The sequence below is a fragment of the Homo sapiens genome, chromosome 1 (genome assembly GCF_000001405.40).
Source record: "Homo sapiens chromosome 1, GRCh38.p14 Primary Assembly".
Lineage (NCBI taxonomy): Eukaryota > Metazoa > Chordata > Mammalia > Primates > Hominidae > Homo > Homo sapiens.
In genome coordinates, this window is record NC_000001.11 from 77,395,338 (window position 1) to 77,414,970 (window position 19,633).

Here is a 19,633-nt window from a genome sequence, read left to right on the forward strand (position 1 = left end):
TTCCCTGAGGCTTCTAACAAATTCTAGTTGGCTTCTGTCTCTATTATTGACCATGTGTACCAAGTGGAATATTGTCTATAAAAATTTGAAGGCATCTGTTGCTTTGCAAAGACTATGTGCCTTTTATGCCTTAGGTAAGCTTATCAATTCCAGTCCCCTTTAAGAGGAGGCTGACCATGCCCATGGTTGCAGAGGTGAAAATATAAAGAGAAGCAGATGTGGCTTGAGGCAGCAGAAGGCTAAGAGGCTCTTCAGAGCCTGTGCTCACTTTGTCTTTGAGTGAAGCTGCATCTTTGCAGAACAGCATCTCTCATTGCAAATGTCTTTGGAAGGCTCAAGCATATTTGAAAAAAATAAAAGAGGCATAACTAAACAAAACATAACCTCAAACAAAAGTGATAGAGAAGGTTGAGCCAGGACACATATAAACAGGTTTCGATGGGATGAGAAGTTATTCGAAGGCCTCCAAATAACTGTAGGAAGCCAGAAAGAGCATCGTCTATTTCTTCTCGGATAATCCCAAGATTCTTATCTATATCCCCTGACTCACTCCTCTTCATCCCCTCTATCAGCCCAACTCAACTACTGCCTGAAAGATCTATCAATACCATTCTTACTCAACAGGATCAACATTAGGCTATACATGATTCTGAACTTGCTGAGTTCATAGTTCATTGATATGTGGCTAAAAAATTATTTTTCTGTATGATCCACAATTCAGAAAATAAAATATAGGTATGGATGGCAGGTAATCTCTTTTTCTACATGTTGCTTCCTGTCAAAGCCAATTCTTCTGCCATTTTAGTGGAAGAATAAGAAGAGTAACTACCCATAGAGTTGAGTCAGCTAAATTCACATAAAGTCTTAGCATCAAAAGCATTTATAAGGATTTTTAAATCTATTTGCATATTTTCTTCCTCTGCCCATGGAGGTAAATGTCAATTCCATTATTGTAAATCTGATTTCCAGTCTCATAATTTTCTTTGTCTCTCCTGCTTCATTTATACTTTTCCTAAAACTTGGGGAAAAATTGTTCAATTACACAAAGAGCCCAGTAGCCCAGTGGCTATTAAGTTGTTAAACAAGCCCCCATTCTGTTTTCATTCTGTAATTATTTCTTAAATCAAGCCTGTCATAGCCATCTTGCTAATAAGTTAATTATCCTGAAACAAAGATCAATTTGGTGTTTTGGGAACTTGGTACAAACAATATTAACACAAAGTTATAGACCTGGGAATAGTGAGTAAGGGAAAAAATGAGGATGGTTGTTTAAACGGCTCTGAATTTGGAAATGACCCTCAAGCTAAAAATAGGAAGGAAAAACAAATGAATGTGGGATAACTAGGAACATAGGATTTGTTCTTGCAGAGCTGAAATAGCTTAATGCTTAAGAGCACAGGCATTGTAGTAAGACAGACTTGAGTTCTTATCCAAGATGTGTTCTTCCCTAATTGTATGACCTTAAGTAAGTACTTAGCCCTTTAAATTCTTTCCTTGGGAAAGTGTTACGTTGTGATTGTTCTGGGATTTAACTGGGATGTTTGCAAGATGCTTTGCCTATTACCTAGCATATATAGTAAATGCTTAATAAATGGTAACTCGTGCCATGCACATGAGCCCACCTGTCACATTCCTGTGTGCCCATCACAGCACCCACTCACTACAGACACATGCCCAGGGATTTCTGGTAGAGAATAGTCAGCTACCAGGTGTTAAAATCCCAAGAAAGCCTTCAGATAACTGTAAGAAAAGGACATCTCCCCTTCTCAGAATAATCCCAAGATTTTAAGGCAGAGGCACCCTCATCTTCTTCAAAGAAGTTACATCTTTCTTACCTTCATTTCTTCTCACGGCACTTCCTCTCCCTGGTATGCCCTTCCTTTCCTTTCTTCACCTGCTTAGTCTCACTTGTTCAGAACCTCCCCGAGCCCCACATTGCCACACGTACCCACCGCCTGGCCCCCAGGACCTCCAAGCACACCTCCATCACAGCCCTTCCCACAATGAAGTAATGATTGTCTTAGCAGTCTCTTGGCGCTTCCTCCGTCATGAGGGCAGAGACGTTGCCGTGTTTGACTGAATTAAATTATTTCCCCCAAGTCATCCTTACTTTGAGTCCACTTCTCCAACAGGGGGAAACATTAGCACAATTTTTCTAGCAGCTACTTTACTATCCAGAATGATTGTCCACTAATCCAATTAAATTTTTTTAATAAACATTAAGCTTCTCACTACTGGCAACATTAAATGTGTGTATTAACTAAAAAGAAATTTGGGCTGGGAGCACTGACTCACATCTGTAATTCTAGTACTTTGGGAAGCCAAAGCAGGAGAATCACTTGAACCCAAGAGTTCGAAACCAGCCTGGGAAACATAGTGAGACCTTGTCTCTACAAAAAATTTAAACATAAAAAATTAGCCAGGTATGGTGCCACGTGCCTGTAGCCCCAGCTACTCAGGAGGCTGAGGCAGGAGCATCACTTGGGCCCAGAAGTTAGAGACTGCAGTAAGCTATAATCATCCCACTGCACTCTAGTCTAGGCAACGGAACAAGACGGTCTCTAAATAAATAAATAAATAAAATTAAAATCTAAAATCCAAATGCTTTTTCTACTTTATTAGTGGTATCTCTCATCATAATGTCCTGTCTTCCTACTGCAAGATGCATTCCCCTTAGTTTTCCATCTTCTAAGCTGTTCTTTTTGATTCCACTTGATCTCCATTGAATCTTACAATAATTATGAACTGACCATATTTGGCCATGGTAGTTAACGTCAAAATTGCAGGAGATAAATTTTTTTAAAGGATGAATCACATGGACTTAAACAAGTAATAATAAAAGGAAAGAGAAGGAAAAATAATAAAAGAAAATAGAATGAGCCTGATCTTCCCAGGGCCTAAATTAGCCCCTAGTCACACATCTGTTGCTCAGGCAGCACAGCGGGTTTTTTTCAGGCTTTCAGGGTACCACTTAGAGCTCTGTAGCAGGGAGACACTCGAGCATTAAAGAGAATGGAGCCTGTAATTAGGAGAGGTACCAATGTCACATGAGGCTGAAATTTGACTTCTGAGGCTTTAACGAATTTCTTTAGTTTGGAAGCTTTCTTGGCAAAGCTTTAAATCTCAATGCCACTACTTTGTAGTTTTGCAAAGCCTCAAATTGCTGGAATGCTGGGAGGAGAGAAGAGAAAATAGAAAGGGGAAAAGGGTATGTTAATTAATTTAATTTTCTGGTTAATTCAGCTTGACGAGTATTTGTCTAACTGCTGGGCTCAGAATGCTGTAGGTGCAGTAGAGAAAAAACGAGAACTGCACAGTGTAATTCTTGTCTAAAACGAGCATATCATTTTTCTCATTTTCTCCCTTTAACGCTTTCTTTACCAAGTCATTTCAAAGTATTTTAGTCCTCACTAGTGGTTTAATAAGTACAGAAAAGCCAATATGATTTAATCTTGCTTCCATGCATCTCCAATGATCAGTCTAATACCTAGAACAAAGTAGGTGTTCAATATATCTATATTGAATTGCATCCTGTAGGTGGTATACGAGATTGGGTCCAATCTATATGGATCTCAAGAGATATTCTAAAAGTTTATTTATTTGACGAAATCTATTAATCACCCTATTTTCTGGGCTACAGATCCCTTTCTTAAGCAACTTTTGATTGAGAAGCAATGCATTATCTAGTCAGTATCATCTTAATGAAATCTTAAATCCTCTTGGTATTTACTACATTGGGGTTTATTTCAGCTACCCCCAATAGAAGTAAGTGCTTTCTGCAGCAACTTAATTTTAGAAGTGTTCTGTCATAGTACCCAAAGATTAGCGAGCAGAATATTGGGCACTTGATATCTGCTCATGATCTGGACATTGGTCAAGCTAAGGATGTTTGCTCTGGGGCTGTACCTGAATCTATAAAATTTAGACAATCGGCCACTGCAGCCACCCTCCCTTCAGCTAAAGAATTGTTCCGAACCCCGATTACCACCACTGACTTGGATTCTTTTCTCTTGGGCCCTTTTCTCTCAACCACAACCTCCTGCATGGCCTGAAACCGAGCCTCTCCCTTCTTATTGTTAGTGGTCTGGCTTTGAATCGACTGTCTCCTAATTAGACAGCCAGATCAAGGGGCTCTGGGAAAGGAGTCTGGAATGCTTTCTCTCAGTCAAAGGGGATAGGGGGCCAAAGCCCTGGTTGGGCTGTGAGGGAGGGGCAGCTAAGCTGGGCCCATGTGTGTGGGTGCTGGTGGCTGGAACTCTGGGACAGAACCAGAGCAGCTTCTTTAGGAAGTGCCAGACCAGACATGGCCCATATCAGAAATCCATTCTCCCATCTCAGAGAGGCTCTTGGAAGGAGGCTAGGCCCACTCTTCCTTTGATTCCTGAGGGAGACCGAATAGTGATGAGAGGAGAAAAACAGAATCCATGCTAGATGACCTCAATCCTCTCAGCAAACTAAAAGGCAGGGTTATTTGCAAAGAGGTTTAGAAGGCTGCTGTGGGGTGCAACTAGAGTCAACAATAGACAAAGAGGATTGCTGGGCAGTAGCCAGTTTCCCTGTAGCTTTAAGCTACCAACCCACACAGACCCATAGGAGTTGGGAAGTCATCTGCCTCTTGCAGTCAACTTTGCCTGCCCTTGCTCCTTCTGATTTCCTGGCCAGTCTGCAGGAAGGTTCTTCTGCCAACAACCACAGCCACCCAGCAAGGTACATGCATCATGCAGAGAAACAGAATCACCTACTAAGGTCCCCAAATGGGGAAGAAGATAAAGAATATTTCAGTATATTGCATCTGGACCTGGCTTGGCACAGTTTCTGAGGATTCTTGGGGGTCCATCCTAAGACTACTTCCAAAAGCCCTGCTTTGTTCTGCAAGTGCCCAGCTAAGATCTGATCCTGCCAGCCTTGGCATCTGCATCTGTCTGATGCAGACAGATGTGGATTTGGATCCTGGCTCTGCAATGTAGTTACACAACCTGGACAAGTTATTTAATCTCTTTGAGGCTCAGTTTTTGAATCTTTAAAATGGAGATAATGTTTTATAATGTTATTGTAGGAATCGAATAAATCCATATAAAATCCAAGTGATAAATTAAAATTGATAAAAAATGTATAAAGAAAACCTCTAATGCAGTGTGTGGCACATAGTAGTTGTTCAGTAAATGGCGTTACCTGGTGCTCCTGTTGTTGAGTGCTGATGAAGATTCCAAAAAATATTCTCTGAGCTAATGTCGTAGGAATAATCAAAGTTATCTTAAGTTAACCTTCTCTGCTAGGTTTCTATAGCAGAATAAATCAAAGTCACTATTACAGTGTTAAGCTTCATGTTCAAGGAGAAGTTTTTCATAAAACAGTTCATAAATATCACAACAATTTTCTCTAGTATCTCTTTATTGTGTTGACTTTTTCCCCACAAAGTTCTCTGGGTGCTGCCTATATCCAGTGAAATAAAGATTCTGTACAGAAGGCTTAGAAAATAAGTGTTTTACTCAGATATACACAGCCTTCAAGTGTTCTGTACTCATCCCTTTGCATACCAATCATGTCTGTTTTTAGATCTGTCTTCTTTCATGATTTGTCCTTCTTTCATTCTGTTAAAAAAAAAAAAAAAAAAAAAAGTATGTTCCGCCAAGCTTGGTTCAGCAGGGCTGTACCACAGGAATTCTCATCAAAACATGGGACTGACTCTACTTTCTCAGAGAATTGTTCCCACCCATCTCACTCACCACGTCCACTTAGGTGTTTCTCTTTCAAATTTTGTAGTTAATTATGAGGCTTTAGAAATATGGTTCTGCAAAGTAGTCTCAATGGTTGTTACTCCATTGCTGATAACTTCACTCCAGGAGCCATGAGTTTTTAAAGTTTATTACTCTTTTAGTGCAATCTTCAATTTTTAGTTGAAGAAAAACAAAGTCACTGCAAAGAGAACACCAATCAATCAATCTTTTGGAGGGACATCTCCAAACATATAAAAGAAATTTTGAAGGGCCAGTTATTTGCATGTTGAAGGAGCTTCAGTAACAAACAAGAAATGCCATTGGTGGAGAGCCTGCTTAATTGAAATCTCTTGCATGAATCAAGGGAGAAGTAAAAATTTCAAGAAGCTCATTTGGTTCTTAGAGAATGACACTTATGGGATATATAACACTGAAACAAAACAGCCAATTGATTTCCCCATCAAGAAGGAGAGGAAAAAAATGGGAGACAGACCTAAGTTTAATCAAAAGCAGAATCGCAGAGGAAAGATTGAACTGGTACCATCCCTTTTCAGTCCATTTAGGGTGTCTCATAGACATAACATTGCTCATTATGTGGCAAGCCCTATCTCTATTGCAGTTTGAAAATCAGAGCCAAAAGAAAATAAAAACAAAAACTCATTTCCGCCATTAAAAATGCAAACCATGATTATAGTTTTCTCCTCAGATGGTGCATAATTCTCCTCCCTCTGCTATAATTCCCTTTCCTAATCTAGATATATTTTGTAGACTTTTGAAAGTTGTTACTGCATTTGTTATTCAAATTAAAACATGTGTTGTGAATGAACTAGGGAATTTGGTGAGCATTTCATTTTGAAATTTCCAATTGACCTCTCTAGCCCTCTTATATTAAATGACATAAAACAGATTATGCAGACCACATCCTCTGCAAATTCTGTCCTTAGGAATAAGAAAAGGATTTTCTTAAGATTCCTAGACATTAAATAACAATTACCTAAAACATAGCATCCATCTAATCACAGAATTTCAGAGCTGTGAGCAACTTTAGACATCATCTGGTCTATTGTCCTGCAATTATATCTCCCTGGATCCTTTTCTGACCCATGAAATGTAAATAAATTTTTATTCCTAGAAACTCATCACTCTACCTATGCTACCGCTGCAGCACTATCACTCCTGCTACCCTTTGTATTTTGAAGTTAACATCCAAGGTTCTTGTAGCTGAAAACTTTTTCATTATTATTATTATTATTATTGTACTTTAAGTTTTAGGGTACATGTGCACAACGTGCAGGTTTGTTACATATGTATACATGTGCCATGCTGGTGCGCTGCACCCATTAACTCATCATTTAGCATTAGGTATATCTCCTAATGCTATCCCTCCCCCCTCCCCCCACCCCACAACAGTCCCCGGTGTGTGATGTTCCCCTTCCTGTGTCCATGTGTTCTCATTGTTCAATTCCCACCTATGAGTGAGAACATGCGGTGTTTGGTTTTCTGTCCTTGCGATAGTTTGCTGAGAATGATGATTTCCAGCTTCATCCATGTCCCTACAAAGGACACGAACTCATCATTTTTTATGGCTGCATAGTATTCCATGGTGTATATGTGCCACATTTTCTTAATCCAGTCTATCATTGTTGGACATTTGGGTTGGTTCCAAGTCTTTGCTATTGTGAATAGTGCCGCAATAAACATACGTGTGCATGTGTCTTTATAGCAGCATGATTTATAGTCCTTTGTGTATATACCCAGTAATGGGATGGCTGGGTCAAATGGTATTTCTAGTTCTAGATCCCTGAGGAATCGCCACACTGTCTTCCACAATGGTTGAGCTAGTTTACAGTCCCACCAACACTGTAAAAGTGTTCCTATTTCTCCACATCCTCTCCAGCACCTGTTGTTTCCTGACTTTTTAATGATTGCCATTCTAACTGGTGTGAGATGGTATCTCATTGTGGTTTTGATTTTCATTTCTCTGATGGCCAGTGATGATGAGCATTTTTTCATGTGTTTTTTGGCTGCATAAATGTCTTCTTCTGAGAAGTGTCTGTTCATATCCTTCGCCCACTTTTTGATGGGGTTGTTTGTTTTTTTCTTGTAAATTTGTTTGAGTTCATTGTAGATTCTGGATATTAGCCCTTTGTCAGATGAGTAGGTTGCAAAAATGTTCTCCCATTCTGTAGGTTGCCTGTTCACTCTGATGGTAGTTTCTTTTTCTGTGCAGAAGCTCTTTAGTTTAATTAGATCCCATTTGTCAATTTTGGCTTTTGTTGCCATTGCTTTTGGTGTTTTAGTCATGAAGTCCTTGCCCATGCCTATGTCCTGAATCGTATTGCCTAGGTTTTCTTCTAGGGTTTTTATGGTTTTAGGTCTAACATTTAAGTCTTTAATCCATCTTGAATTAATTTTTGTATAAGGTGTAAGGAAGGGATCCAGTTTCAGCTTTCTACATATGGCTAGCCAGTCTTCCCAGCACCATTTATTAAATAGGGAATCCTTTCCCCATTGCTTGTTTTTCTCAGGTTTGTCAAAGATCAGATAGTTGTAGCCATGCGGCATTATTTCTGAGGGCTCTGTTCTGTTCCACTGGTCTATATCTCTGTTTTGGTACCAGTACCATGCTGTTTTGGTGACTGTAGCCTTGTAGTATAGTTTGAAGTCAGGTAGCGTGATGCCTCCAGCTTTGTTCTTTTGGCTTAGGATTGACTTGGCAATGCGGGCTCTTTTTTGATTCCATATGAACTTTAAAGTAGCTTTTTCCAATTCTGTGAAGAAAGTCATTGGTAGCTTGATGGGGATGGCATTGAATCTATAAATTACCTTAGGCAGTATGGCCATTTTCATGATATTGATTCTTCCTACCCATGAGCATGGAATGTTCTTCCATTTGTTTTGTATCCTCTTTTATTTCGTTGAGCAGTGGTTTGTAGTTCTCCTTGAAGAGGTCCTTCACATCCCTCGTAAGTTGGATTCCTAGGTATTTTATTCTCTTTGAAGCAATTGTGAATGGGAGTTCACTCATGATTTGGCTCTCTGTTTGTCTGTTATTGGTGTATAAGAATGCTTGTGATTTAAAACATCACTATTTCAATTTCAAAACACTGTTTAAAAATCCCAAAGTCAAGAAAACCTAATGTATGTAAGGGCTTCACAATTTTTTCACGACTGACATTTTATGAGATGGGACAAATCTTTGTTGTGAGGATGGCTGTCCTGGGTACTGTAGGATATTTAGCAGCATCCCTGGCAAGTAGCCCCCTGACCCCCTGCAAGTGTGACAACCAAAAATGTCTCCTGCCATTGCCACGTTTCCTTGGGGGAGTGGGGATCGTTTCTGCTTGTTAAGTATCAACATATGTTGTTTATGAAAAACAAGTGAGAAAAAAAGGTTGATGATCTAGAAGCCAGTTCTCCCTTCACCATACACACAACCTCTCCAACACTGAATGTCATCATTTTGTAAAAATCTTTGCCAATTAAGTGGCAATTATGATAATATTCAATCAGAATGCTCTTCAGGGTTCAGTGCCATAATATTTGCTAAAAGAATTAAAAGAAAAGTCCCATGCCACTCTGGAGTTGTAGAAGTGAAATGTTGTAGAAAATGAAATCTGACTTAATTCTGTGGTCCTGATATAAGAGTAAATTGGCTTCAGCAGCATCTGCGCCATCCCATGGCTGAGTTGACTATATGAATGTTATCTTCATTCCTCATGGCTCTACGTTTGTATGTCCAGAGCTTAAGTGGTCAGTTGAAGAATCCACATGTGAATAGCTAGTACATAGTAGTTATTCAACAAATACTTGTTAAATGATTTTATGAATTGTGCTTTATCTTTTCCTCTTGAATTGGACAATCAGCCATTTTAGTCTATGCTGGAAATAAAAATATTCTTGTTCAAATTACTCGGAGGATATAAGACCCCCTAGAAAGTCTCAACGTTTCTTATATTCCTCACTCTACATCCCCAAGTTTTAAAAAAATGTGTATGTGTTTGAGAGAGGGAGAGATCATATGCATGTATGTTACAGAAGCAATCAAAAATATATGGGACATGGTCTCTCAGCCGTAGGGTCTCAAAGAGAGAAATGAAAGTGACAATTTGTGTCAGGCTTTATGCTGGGATATTAAATAGACCATCTCTGTAGTCCTCACAACAATCCCTTGAGGTGGATATTATCACCACTATTGTATAGATGCTAAGAAATAAGTTGCTCAAAGTCAGACAGCTGCTACACGGGAGAGCAGAAACTCCAGTTAAGCACTAGCTGTGTTTTCAGCTGTCTGAACCGGGTTTACAAGCCTCCCATGGCTCACTTGGCCTCATGTGCCCCCTTGGCCTCGGTTGCTTCTTGAATGGAGAGCTCTGTCTGCTACTGCCCTGACTGTCACCGCATATCCTAACCTTGGTGATGGCCCCAGCCAGCCTCTTCAAGGTTGAGGGCTGGACCTCATCATTCTCACCATTGTGGGATCTCCTGCAGAGCCAGTACCTAGACCCCAGCAGACCAGACTTACAGAGGTGCTGGCTCTTTCAGCACTTCTAGATTCAGGGGCTGTGCTGCTCCCTGAGCCCTGGCTTCCCAGTGGCTGCTCAGAGAGGCTGGGCAGTGTAACCAAGAAGTGGAGGGATCCAACTCCCCCTAGGAAAACTTGGAGCAGTGAAAGACAGGAGACTGGAGGAACCAGCAGCTGAAGTCCCCTCACTCCCTCCCCCTACCAGACTGGCCTGAGATAGAGTAGCTCCATGTAGCCCTTCTGGAGACCATGTTGCCGGCTGTGTTTATTAATGAAGCTGGGGTGCAGCTCATAACATTGCCCTCCTTCTTTGCCTTACTCCCCTTTTCCACTTCACGCTTAATGCCCACACACTTAAAATGTTAACTTGGAAGTTTTGCCTTAGTTTCCATTTTCTAGGGAACCCTGGCTAAAACATAAATCTTTAATTTATAAAATGACAGTGCTGCTGCCCATCCCTCAAAAGTTCAAGGAAAAATAGAAACAAAACCCCTGTTAGTAGATATTGCCCCAGACTGATGATAACTAACAGATATCTGAAAAGAAAAACAGCCAGCATATGTAGATGTGAAAAGCAGTGCATTGAGATGGCACTCACTGTACCTTTGTGGCCACCTTGTATCTGCCCTAAACTACCAGTTTTCAAGACACTGGACATCAAGCAATGAAGTGGTCCCTGGTAGAAGGGAAACAAATGCAGTGAGCCCTGTGATTGCTTCAGAGCCTGGAGATGTTTCCAGGCCACGGTGCAGGAAAAAGGAAACCCTTTGGAGGCTGGTGGACTCCATGAGTTGAGGAGATGGAACTGAGAGTCCAAGAAATCAAGGTGGCTAGAGTTGCAGGACAAAAGTATCAGAGATGAGAGAGATACACAGTTGACTCTGGAAATATGCAGAGGGCCTAATCAGATATTCAGTGGCCACCTTGTATCTGTCCTAATGATATCCTGTTTTTTCCCCCTTGCTTTTAGACAGAAGGGCTGTGTCAACACTTACTGGAGTAGAATGGCTGCCTTTGTCTTACTATAATGACCATATGCCACCTGGTAAGATGGAAAGTGTCAGTCATCCCAAGTTCAAATCTTAGCTCTTCTGCATGCACATGAGGAAATTGCCTGATGCTGAGGAAAAAAAAAAAACATACAAAAGGATTAGAGAAAACAGTACCTGGTGCTCACACCAGGCTTGGAATAGTGCCAGTGTCCTTCAGGCAGACTGGAAAACTTCATAATTCACAAAACATGGGGAGAGGCTTTGCTCAACAGTGGGGAATAATTAGCCCTAAACACTGCTCTGATCCAACCTAACAAATCTTAAAAGCAAGACCTGAAAGATGAAACTGTTTCCAAGTAACTAAACTGCATTCCAGAACAAAGCTCAAGAATATTTATAGAAATACAAAAATATCCAGCATCCAACAAGGTCAAATTGTCAATGTCTGGCATCCAGTAAAAAATTACCAGGCATGCAAAGAAACAGGAAAATATACCCCATAATGAGGTAAAAAAAAAAAAAAAATCAACTGAAACTGACTCAGAACTGACACAAATGTTACAATTAACAGAGAAAGACATTAAAAGTAACTGTAATTTTATTTCAGATGTTCAAAAGCTTAAATGGAGACATGGAAAATTTTTTTAAAAGGCTCAAATCAGACATTTAGAGTTGAAAACTACAATGTCTGAGATGACAGATATCCAGGATGGGCTTAATATATCCACACAATGGAATACTAATGAATAATGAAAAGGAATGAACTAAGGATATAACAACATTGATGAATCTCAGAATAATAGTACTGAGTGAAAGAACCCAGACAAAAATAGTTGCATACGGTATTATTCATTTTATGTAAAAATCTAGAAAATGTAAAATAATCTGTGGTTACAGAAAGCAGATAAATGGTTACCTGGGGAGAGGAGAAGGAAAAGGGATTCCAAAGGGGCATGAGGAGTCTTTGGGGGGTGATGGGTATGTTAACTATTTTTATTTTTATGATGGTTTCACGGGTGTAGACATATATCAAAACTTATAATTTGTTTTTTTAAATATAATTTCAATTTTTATTTTGATTTGGGGTACATGTGCAGATTTGCTACCTGGGTATGTTGCATGCTGCTGAGGTTTAGAGTATGATTGACGCCATCACCCGGGTAGTGAACACAGTACCCAATAGATAGTTTTTCAAACTTTGTCCCCCACCTTCCCTCCCCTCTCTAGTAGTCCCCAGAGTCTGTTGTTCCCATCTTTATCTCCCTGCATAACCAGTGTTTAGCTTCCACTTATAAGTGAGAACATGTGGTATTTGGTTTTCTGTTCCTTTGCTAATTCACTTAGCATAATGGCTTCCAGATGCTTCCATGTTGCTGCAAAGGACATGATTTCATTCTTTTTTATGGCTGTGTCTTATTCCATGATGTATATGTACCACATTTTCTTTATCCAGTCCACCATTGTTGGGGACCCAGGTTAATTCCATGTCTTTGCTATTGTGAATAGTGCTGTAATGAACATATGAGTGCATTTGTCTTTTTAGTAGAATGATTTATTTTCTTTGGATATATACCCAGTAATGGAATTCCTGGGTCAAATGGTCAAAGAACCTGTTTTAAGTTCTTTGAGAAATCTCCAAACTGCATTCCACAGTGGCTGAACTAATTTGTATTCCCACCAATAGTAAAAACATTTCCTTTTCTCTGCAGCCTCTGCAGCATCCATCTTTTTTTGTCTCTTTAATAATAGCCTTCTGACTGGTGTGAGATGGTATCTCATTGTAGTTTTGATTTGCATTTCTCTGATGATTAATGATGTTGAGCATTTTTTCATGTTTTTTGGCCACTTGTAAGTCTTTTTTTGAGAAGTGTTTATGTCTTTTGCCCACTTTTTAATAGGGTTATTTGTTTTTTGCTTGTTGAATTGTTTAAGTTTCTTATAAATTCTGGATATTAGACCTTTGTTGGATGTGTAGTTTGTGAATATTTTCTCTCATTCTGTAGGTTGTGTGTTTGCTCTGTTGGTAGTTTCTTTTGCTGTGCAAAAGCTCTTTGGTTTAATTAGGTCCCACTTATCAATTTTTAAAACTTATAATCTGCATATTTTAAATATGTGCAGTTCATTGTGTATCACTTAGAACTCAGTAAAGTTATTTTTATTTTTGTTTGTCATGTTATCTATTTTTTTCTTTTTTAATTTTTATTTTTGGTTTGGGGGCACATGTAAAGGTTTGTTACATAGGTAAACATATGTCATTGGGGTTTGTTATACATATTATTTCATCACCCAGGTATTAAGCCCGGTATCTAATAGTTATATTTTCTGCTTCTCTGCCTCCTCCTACTCTCCCCGCTCAAGTAAACCCCAGTGTCTGTTGTTTCCTTCTTTGTGTTCATAAGTTCTTATCGTTTAGCTCCCACTTACAAGTAAGGACATGTGGTATTTGGTTTTCTGTTCCTGCATTAGTTTTGTAAGGACAATGACCTCCAGTTCCATCTGTGTTCCCACAGAAGACATGACTTCATTCTTTTTTATGGCTGCATAGTATTCCATGGTATATATGTACCACATTTCCTTTTTCCAATCTGTCATTGATGGGTATTTAGGTTGATTCCATGTATTTGCTATTGTGAATAATGCTGCAATGAAGATTCACGTGTATGTGTCTTTATGGGAGAATGGTTTATACTCCGCCAGGTATATGCCCAGTAATGGGGTTGCTGGGTCAAATGGTAGTTCTGCTTTTACTCTTCGAGGAATTGCCGTACTGCTTTCCACAATGGTCAAACTAATTTACACTCCCACCAACACAACCTCACTACCATCTGTTATTTTTTCACTTTTTAATAATAGTCATTCTGATTGCTATGAGATGGTATCTCATTGGGGCTTTGATTTGCATTTCTCTAATGATCAGTGATATTGAGCTTTTTTTTCATATGCTTGATGGCTGCATGTATGTCTTCTTTTGAGACATGTCTGTTCATGTCCTTTGCCCAATTTTTAATGGAGGTATTTGTTTTACTCTTGTAAATTTGTTTAAGTTCTTTGTAAGATGCTGGATAGTAGACCTTTGTCAGATGCATAGTTTGCAAATATTTTCTCCCATTCTGTAGGTTGTCTGTTTACTCTGCTGGTAGTTTCTTTAGCAGTGCAGAAGCTCTCAAGTTTAATTAGATCCCACTTGTCAATTTTTGCTGTTGTTGCTATTGCTTTTCATATCTTTGTCATGAAATCTTTGCCCATTCCTGTGTCCAGGATGGTATTGCCTAGGTTGTCTTCTAGGAATTTTATAGTTTTGGGTTTTACATCTAAGACTTTAATCTATCTTAAGTTCATTTTCATATATGGTGTAAGGAAGGGGTTCAGCTTCAATCTTCTGCATACGGCTAGCCAGTTATCCCAGCACTATTTATTGAATAGGGAGTCTTTTCTGCATTACTTGTTTTTGTCATAGTAAAGCTATTTTTAAAAACTAAAGGGACAAAAATGTGTTAACAAACCACTGAAAAACTCAGAAAATAGAGAATTCATAAATATAACTATGTCATTTTAAAATATTTAAAATTTTGTAAATTTTAGAGAATTATAAAATAAATATTTAAATCTATAATTTTTGTTATATCTAAATCCATAGAATCCACAGACCACATCTATAATATTGTATCTAGTATAGTATCTGAAATTTGGTTTGGAGGTTTTGTTGTTGTTGTTGTTGTTTTTGGAGACAGAGTCTCAGTCTGTCCCCCAGGCTGGAGTACAGCAGCGCCATCTTGGCTCACTACAACCTCTGCCTCCCGGGTTCAAGTGATTCTCGTGCCTCAGCCTCCCTAGTAGCTGGGACTACAGGCACATGCCACCATGCCTGGCTAATTTTTTTGTATTTTTAGTAGAGACGGGGTTTTGCCGTGTTGGCCAGGCTGGTCTCAAACTCCTGGCCTCAAGCAACCTGCCCACCTCGGCCTCCCAAAGTGCTAGGATTACAGGAGTGAGCCACTGCACCCAGCCTCTTTGTGTTTTTGTTTTTGTTTTTGTTTTTAACAATAAGTTTAGAACATCTACTGTTTAGAACTATATATTTTCATGTTTTTCAAATTAGAAAAATGAAGTCAGAAAGCCACAAGATAAATTTCAGTTAGTTTTTCCAAACGTGCTCCATAAATTAAGAAAATATTACACTTTTTTTTAACCATAAGTGACTGTACATTTATTCCCTAATACTCTTCTCTGTTCGATAGGAGGTCTGGGCTTAAAACCCTCTAAATGTCTGATTAAAGACTCAAATGCTTTAATTCCTGTTGTTCTGCTTCATTAGAGATACAGTTGTGTGATGGATGCTCATTATATTTTTGAATTAACTAATTTGTGTATTCTCACATTCCAAACTTGTCTGTCCTGATTTCCCCCAGTTTGATGCCGACCGCGATGAGGATGAGGTGTTCTATGACATCAGCATGGCAGTTGACAACAAGTTATTTCCAAACAAAGAGGCTGCAGCAGGTAAGTCACTGTGTCCTTTAGACAACAGTACGCCGTGATCACCTGCCAAATGTCTGGGGCTTTGTATTAATGGTTGAAGTTCAACAAACTGCTGCAAGTTTTGAAGGATGACAAAGTCTTATACTTTCTGGTATAAAAATAAAAGTATAAAACAAAGTAGAGAGGAAAGGCTATAAATCTGTTCCTTATAGTTGCTGCTTTTCTTCCAGTCATTGCACATGTAAATTACCAGGTAGTCACAATGTAACATAGGGCCTATGTTACTATAATAGAAAAATATCTAACCTAACCCATACTTTGTACAATTAAAATTTACAATATCTCCAGGACCCCCTAACTCATACGATAGGTTTCTACCTCATTGCCTGGATAAAAGCATCCCCTCCAATCTGGTAGCCACTCCCATCCCAACCCACAGCTCCTGTGTGACCCTACCTCTTCTCTTCCTAAGTGCTCTTGCCTGGAATTTTGACTTTGGACTCTGATGTAGAGTAATCATACCTCCTAATGTAGGCAGTACTCATGGTTCTGTCCTGACCCCCCTCTCATTCTCTCCGTACTCTGACCCTGAGCCAACTCATTGTCACAGGTGGCTTCAACATCAATTCTATGTGGATGACTCTCCAATCTTAGTCTCAGTCCTGACCTTCTTTCTTCTGAGTAATGATCTCAAAGGGTAAAGACCAAAAGCTTGGGGCCACAAAGAAAAAAGGCTAAACACTTAACATTTTAAATCACTATTTGAAGCCACCTAAGAGTAGCTTCAAAGAAAGACAGAATTACAAGGGTAAGGTGGTAGTCTTTCTGGGCAGACCCACAGAACACAGATAACCGATGTAAACTCATCTGCCTAACTTTCTGATGAGATTTATAAAAAGTTGGCCTATTGCAAGAAAGATGAAATATTGAGAATCATTTAAGATTATGAAAACATGACTACTGCTGCTCTGAAAAATACTATGACTCTGTGCTTTTCAAGTTAATATTTTATTTAGAAGATGCTTTAGAAGTGACTACCTCTAACGACAAATATCTAACTGCTAGATATCCTCAGTTTGCTAATACAGTGGGATGGAGGGGCTGATTTAAGCCACCCCTTCTTTGGGACACCCAGCACTTCGTGGCTCCCTAGCGGTGTTTCTCCACTAGGGAGCCTTGTGCCCTGCAGTGATGCAACTGTGCTGGTTTCTGTACCAATAGGAAACCGCCTGAGGACACGTGCTGTGTCCTCATTCTCTTAAGGTCCCCTTGGTAAAGTGCATAGTGCCTGAGCCTTAACAGCAGTTTCCAGGTGTCTACTTTCTCCTCTCTGTACCTCAGAGCTCATAAACAGAAGACTCTGTGCTTGCAGCCTCAACTCCCGCTAACTCTTCCACTCCTGAGACCCCCTGAAAGCTGGCTTCTGCTTCAGCCTTAGAATAAGTTTGTTTTCTCTAAAACAGCCCTAGGTGAATAAAGTGCAGTAAACTAGAAGTAAATGGTGCCTCCCCTGCAGGAGGCAGATACTGTGTAGCTCCAGGAAACTGTCGCTGTTAAGGAACAATGGTGAAATCTCCTGGCTTATAAATGTTGATGACTCACCCAATAAATAAGTCATATCCATGGCCTCTGCTCTATGAATTGTCAGCCTCCAGGTTTGGTCCCGCCACTGTTTTTTTCTCTCTCAACTCTCTTTCTGCAGAATCTCAGCTGCCCCACAGCTCCCATATCGCCTCCTATGAATGGCATCCAATTCTCTTTCTCTCACCTTGACCTTTCTCCGGGGAGCCAGGCAGAAGTGTTCTTGCCCTCACACTCCACACTGATCATCAATCCACGGGGGCACCTTGGGAGTCCAAACCTTTGTCTTTATTCCCACTGCAGTCACCAAACGCTTTGTCATTCCTCATCCCTGGCCTCTCCTGTCTGTCATGAATGTCCTGCTGCCATGGAGATCTTCACAGAATGCAGCTCTAATCATCCTGCCTTTCTGAAAAAAAAACAAAACAAAACCTTCAATGACTCCTGCAGGCTGGCCACGAGTACCCTTAGCACAGAAGAAAGCCCCAAATCCTTTGCTTTCCTGCAGTGGTCCTGTTACTGCCATAACATCCCCTCCCCAACGTCACTGGCACCAGCTTCCCCCAGTTCTCTGAATACCTCAAGTTCCTTCCTGCCTTAGGCATTTTCCACCTGCTCTTCTCTCTGCTTAGAAAATGCCTCTCCTCATTTGCATCCCTCTCACTCTCCCAACCCCATAGAGCCCCATCCTGCACCTGGCCAGATTCTACTTTGCGCCTCAGAGTAAACGTGGTGATTTTCTCAAGGAGACTTTCTCAGACCCCACCCCAGACTAGATTAGGCCCTTGAATAGCACCCTGTGACCCACAGGTGTACCAGGACTTTTCTTAGAGACTACCATTGCTCTGATCGTCTGCTTCTTCAAGGCCTGTCTACAGTGTCTCCCCCTCAATGAAGCCCTCCACCCACACTTCTAGCAAAGCCATCTGGCTGCGTCACTCAACTGCTCTGGGCCTCCATCTCCTTATCTATAAAGAGGGGATAATAATAGCAGCTACCCCAGAGGATTGTTCTGAAAAATAAATGGTTTCTGTATGCAAAGTATGTGGTTGTCACATTGAAAAGGCTATCTATGGGTTCCTGTCTTTGCAGCAGATTTGAGGGCTCATGGGGAGAAACCACATCTTACACAATACAACTTTCTCCACTTTTCCTGGATCTACTTCTTCTCTCTTCTCCTTCTCTGCCCTCCTCCCTGCCCCAACCCTGTCCTGGAGTAACTGAAAAACTCCCCACTTCCCCTTCTCACCCAGAGCAACCCATCAACACCCAGATCCCTCAAAGAGTTCTAGTCCCAAATACCGTCAGAATATTTTTCCAAGTAAATACAGTGCTCTTCCTACACATTGTAATGAACACTTTCCATGCCTGTGGAATTCGAGCTGGCCTCTCAGTGCTTAATGCAGGTCAGGCACTTATAGGAGACATTTAATGTTTGTAGCATGGATCAATGAGAGCAAGACCTGTACAGGTAAAGTGGAAGTGTCCTTTCATTTTTAGTCATTTGGTACGTATGCATTGAACACATGTACCTTCTAAGTTTTGTTCTTAGATTCAGAAATGAAACACAACCCTTACAGGTTTAATTTTCGTTAAAATTAAACTGTAACGAAACTGTTAATGAAAATAAAACTGTAAGCTACGCTGTAAGGGACAGGACAAGGGAGAAACTGCTTTCCTCAGAGGGTGCAGTTTAAGGGTTGGAGGAGTTTTATTTACGGACACCCTTCACTGCTTAAGAAGCCCTGCAATTGTAGGAGTGTCTTTATGGGGTACTCAAAGTGGGAGGAGGATTTTCCTAAAACTTTGAGTTAAAGATCCACTAGGAGGAAAAACATCTGTAACGTTGACCCAGAAAGTAATATGGTTAGCCTCTGGTACCTCTAAAGCTAATTTGTATCACCTTCCCCCTTAAATTTAAGGAGCCAACCTGAAAATAATATTTCTGAAGGCCATTCTAAAACTAGCAGCACTGGGTGCTTCCTCTAGGGTTCTGTATTTCAGCGCATACCTTTCTCTGTCATCTATAGAAATAATATTTTTAAATCTGGAAAGAAATTGAAAAATTCAAAACGGGGAAAATGAAAGCTACACTATCACTTTTTCGTAACATCCTAATTTTTCTGTCTTTTTTGAGTAACAATATCATTGCAGTTGTTTTATGTGTTAAATTATCCAACGAAAGAAGGCAGTAATGTGTACATTTGTCTATATTTTCCCTCTATTTTTTGTGTCAAACCTTAGAGTATTATTAAAGGTCCCATTTTCAGCAAACCAAGAAACCAATGCTAAAAGAAAATGAAAGCCATTCAATCATTATCCAAGCTGATAATGATATC

At 40.0% G+C, this 19,633-nt stretch overlaps 1 protein-coding gene across 8 annotated transcripts in view; it reads left to right on the forward strand.

The window, feature by feature from the left end:
• AK5 (adenylate kinase 5) overlaps positions 1–19,633 on the forward strand; it is a 277,948-nt gene that overhangs the window by 113,319 nt on the left and 144,996 nt on the right. For all 8 annotated transcript variants that reach the window (NM_174858.3, XM_005270739.6, XM_017001012.2 and 5 more), the window contains one exon: positions 15,644–15,734. In NM_174858.3, coding sequence (NP_777283.1) covers positions 15,644–15,734 — 91 coding nt within the window. The remainder of the gene's footprint in view (positions 1–15,643; positions 15,735–19,633) is intronic.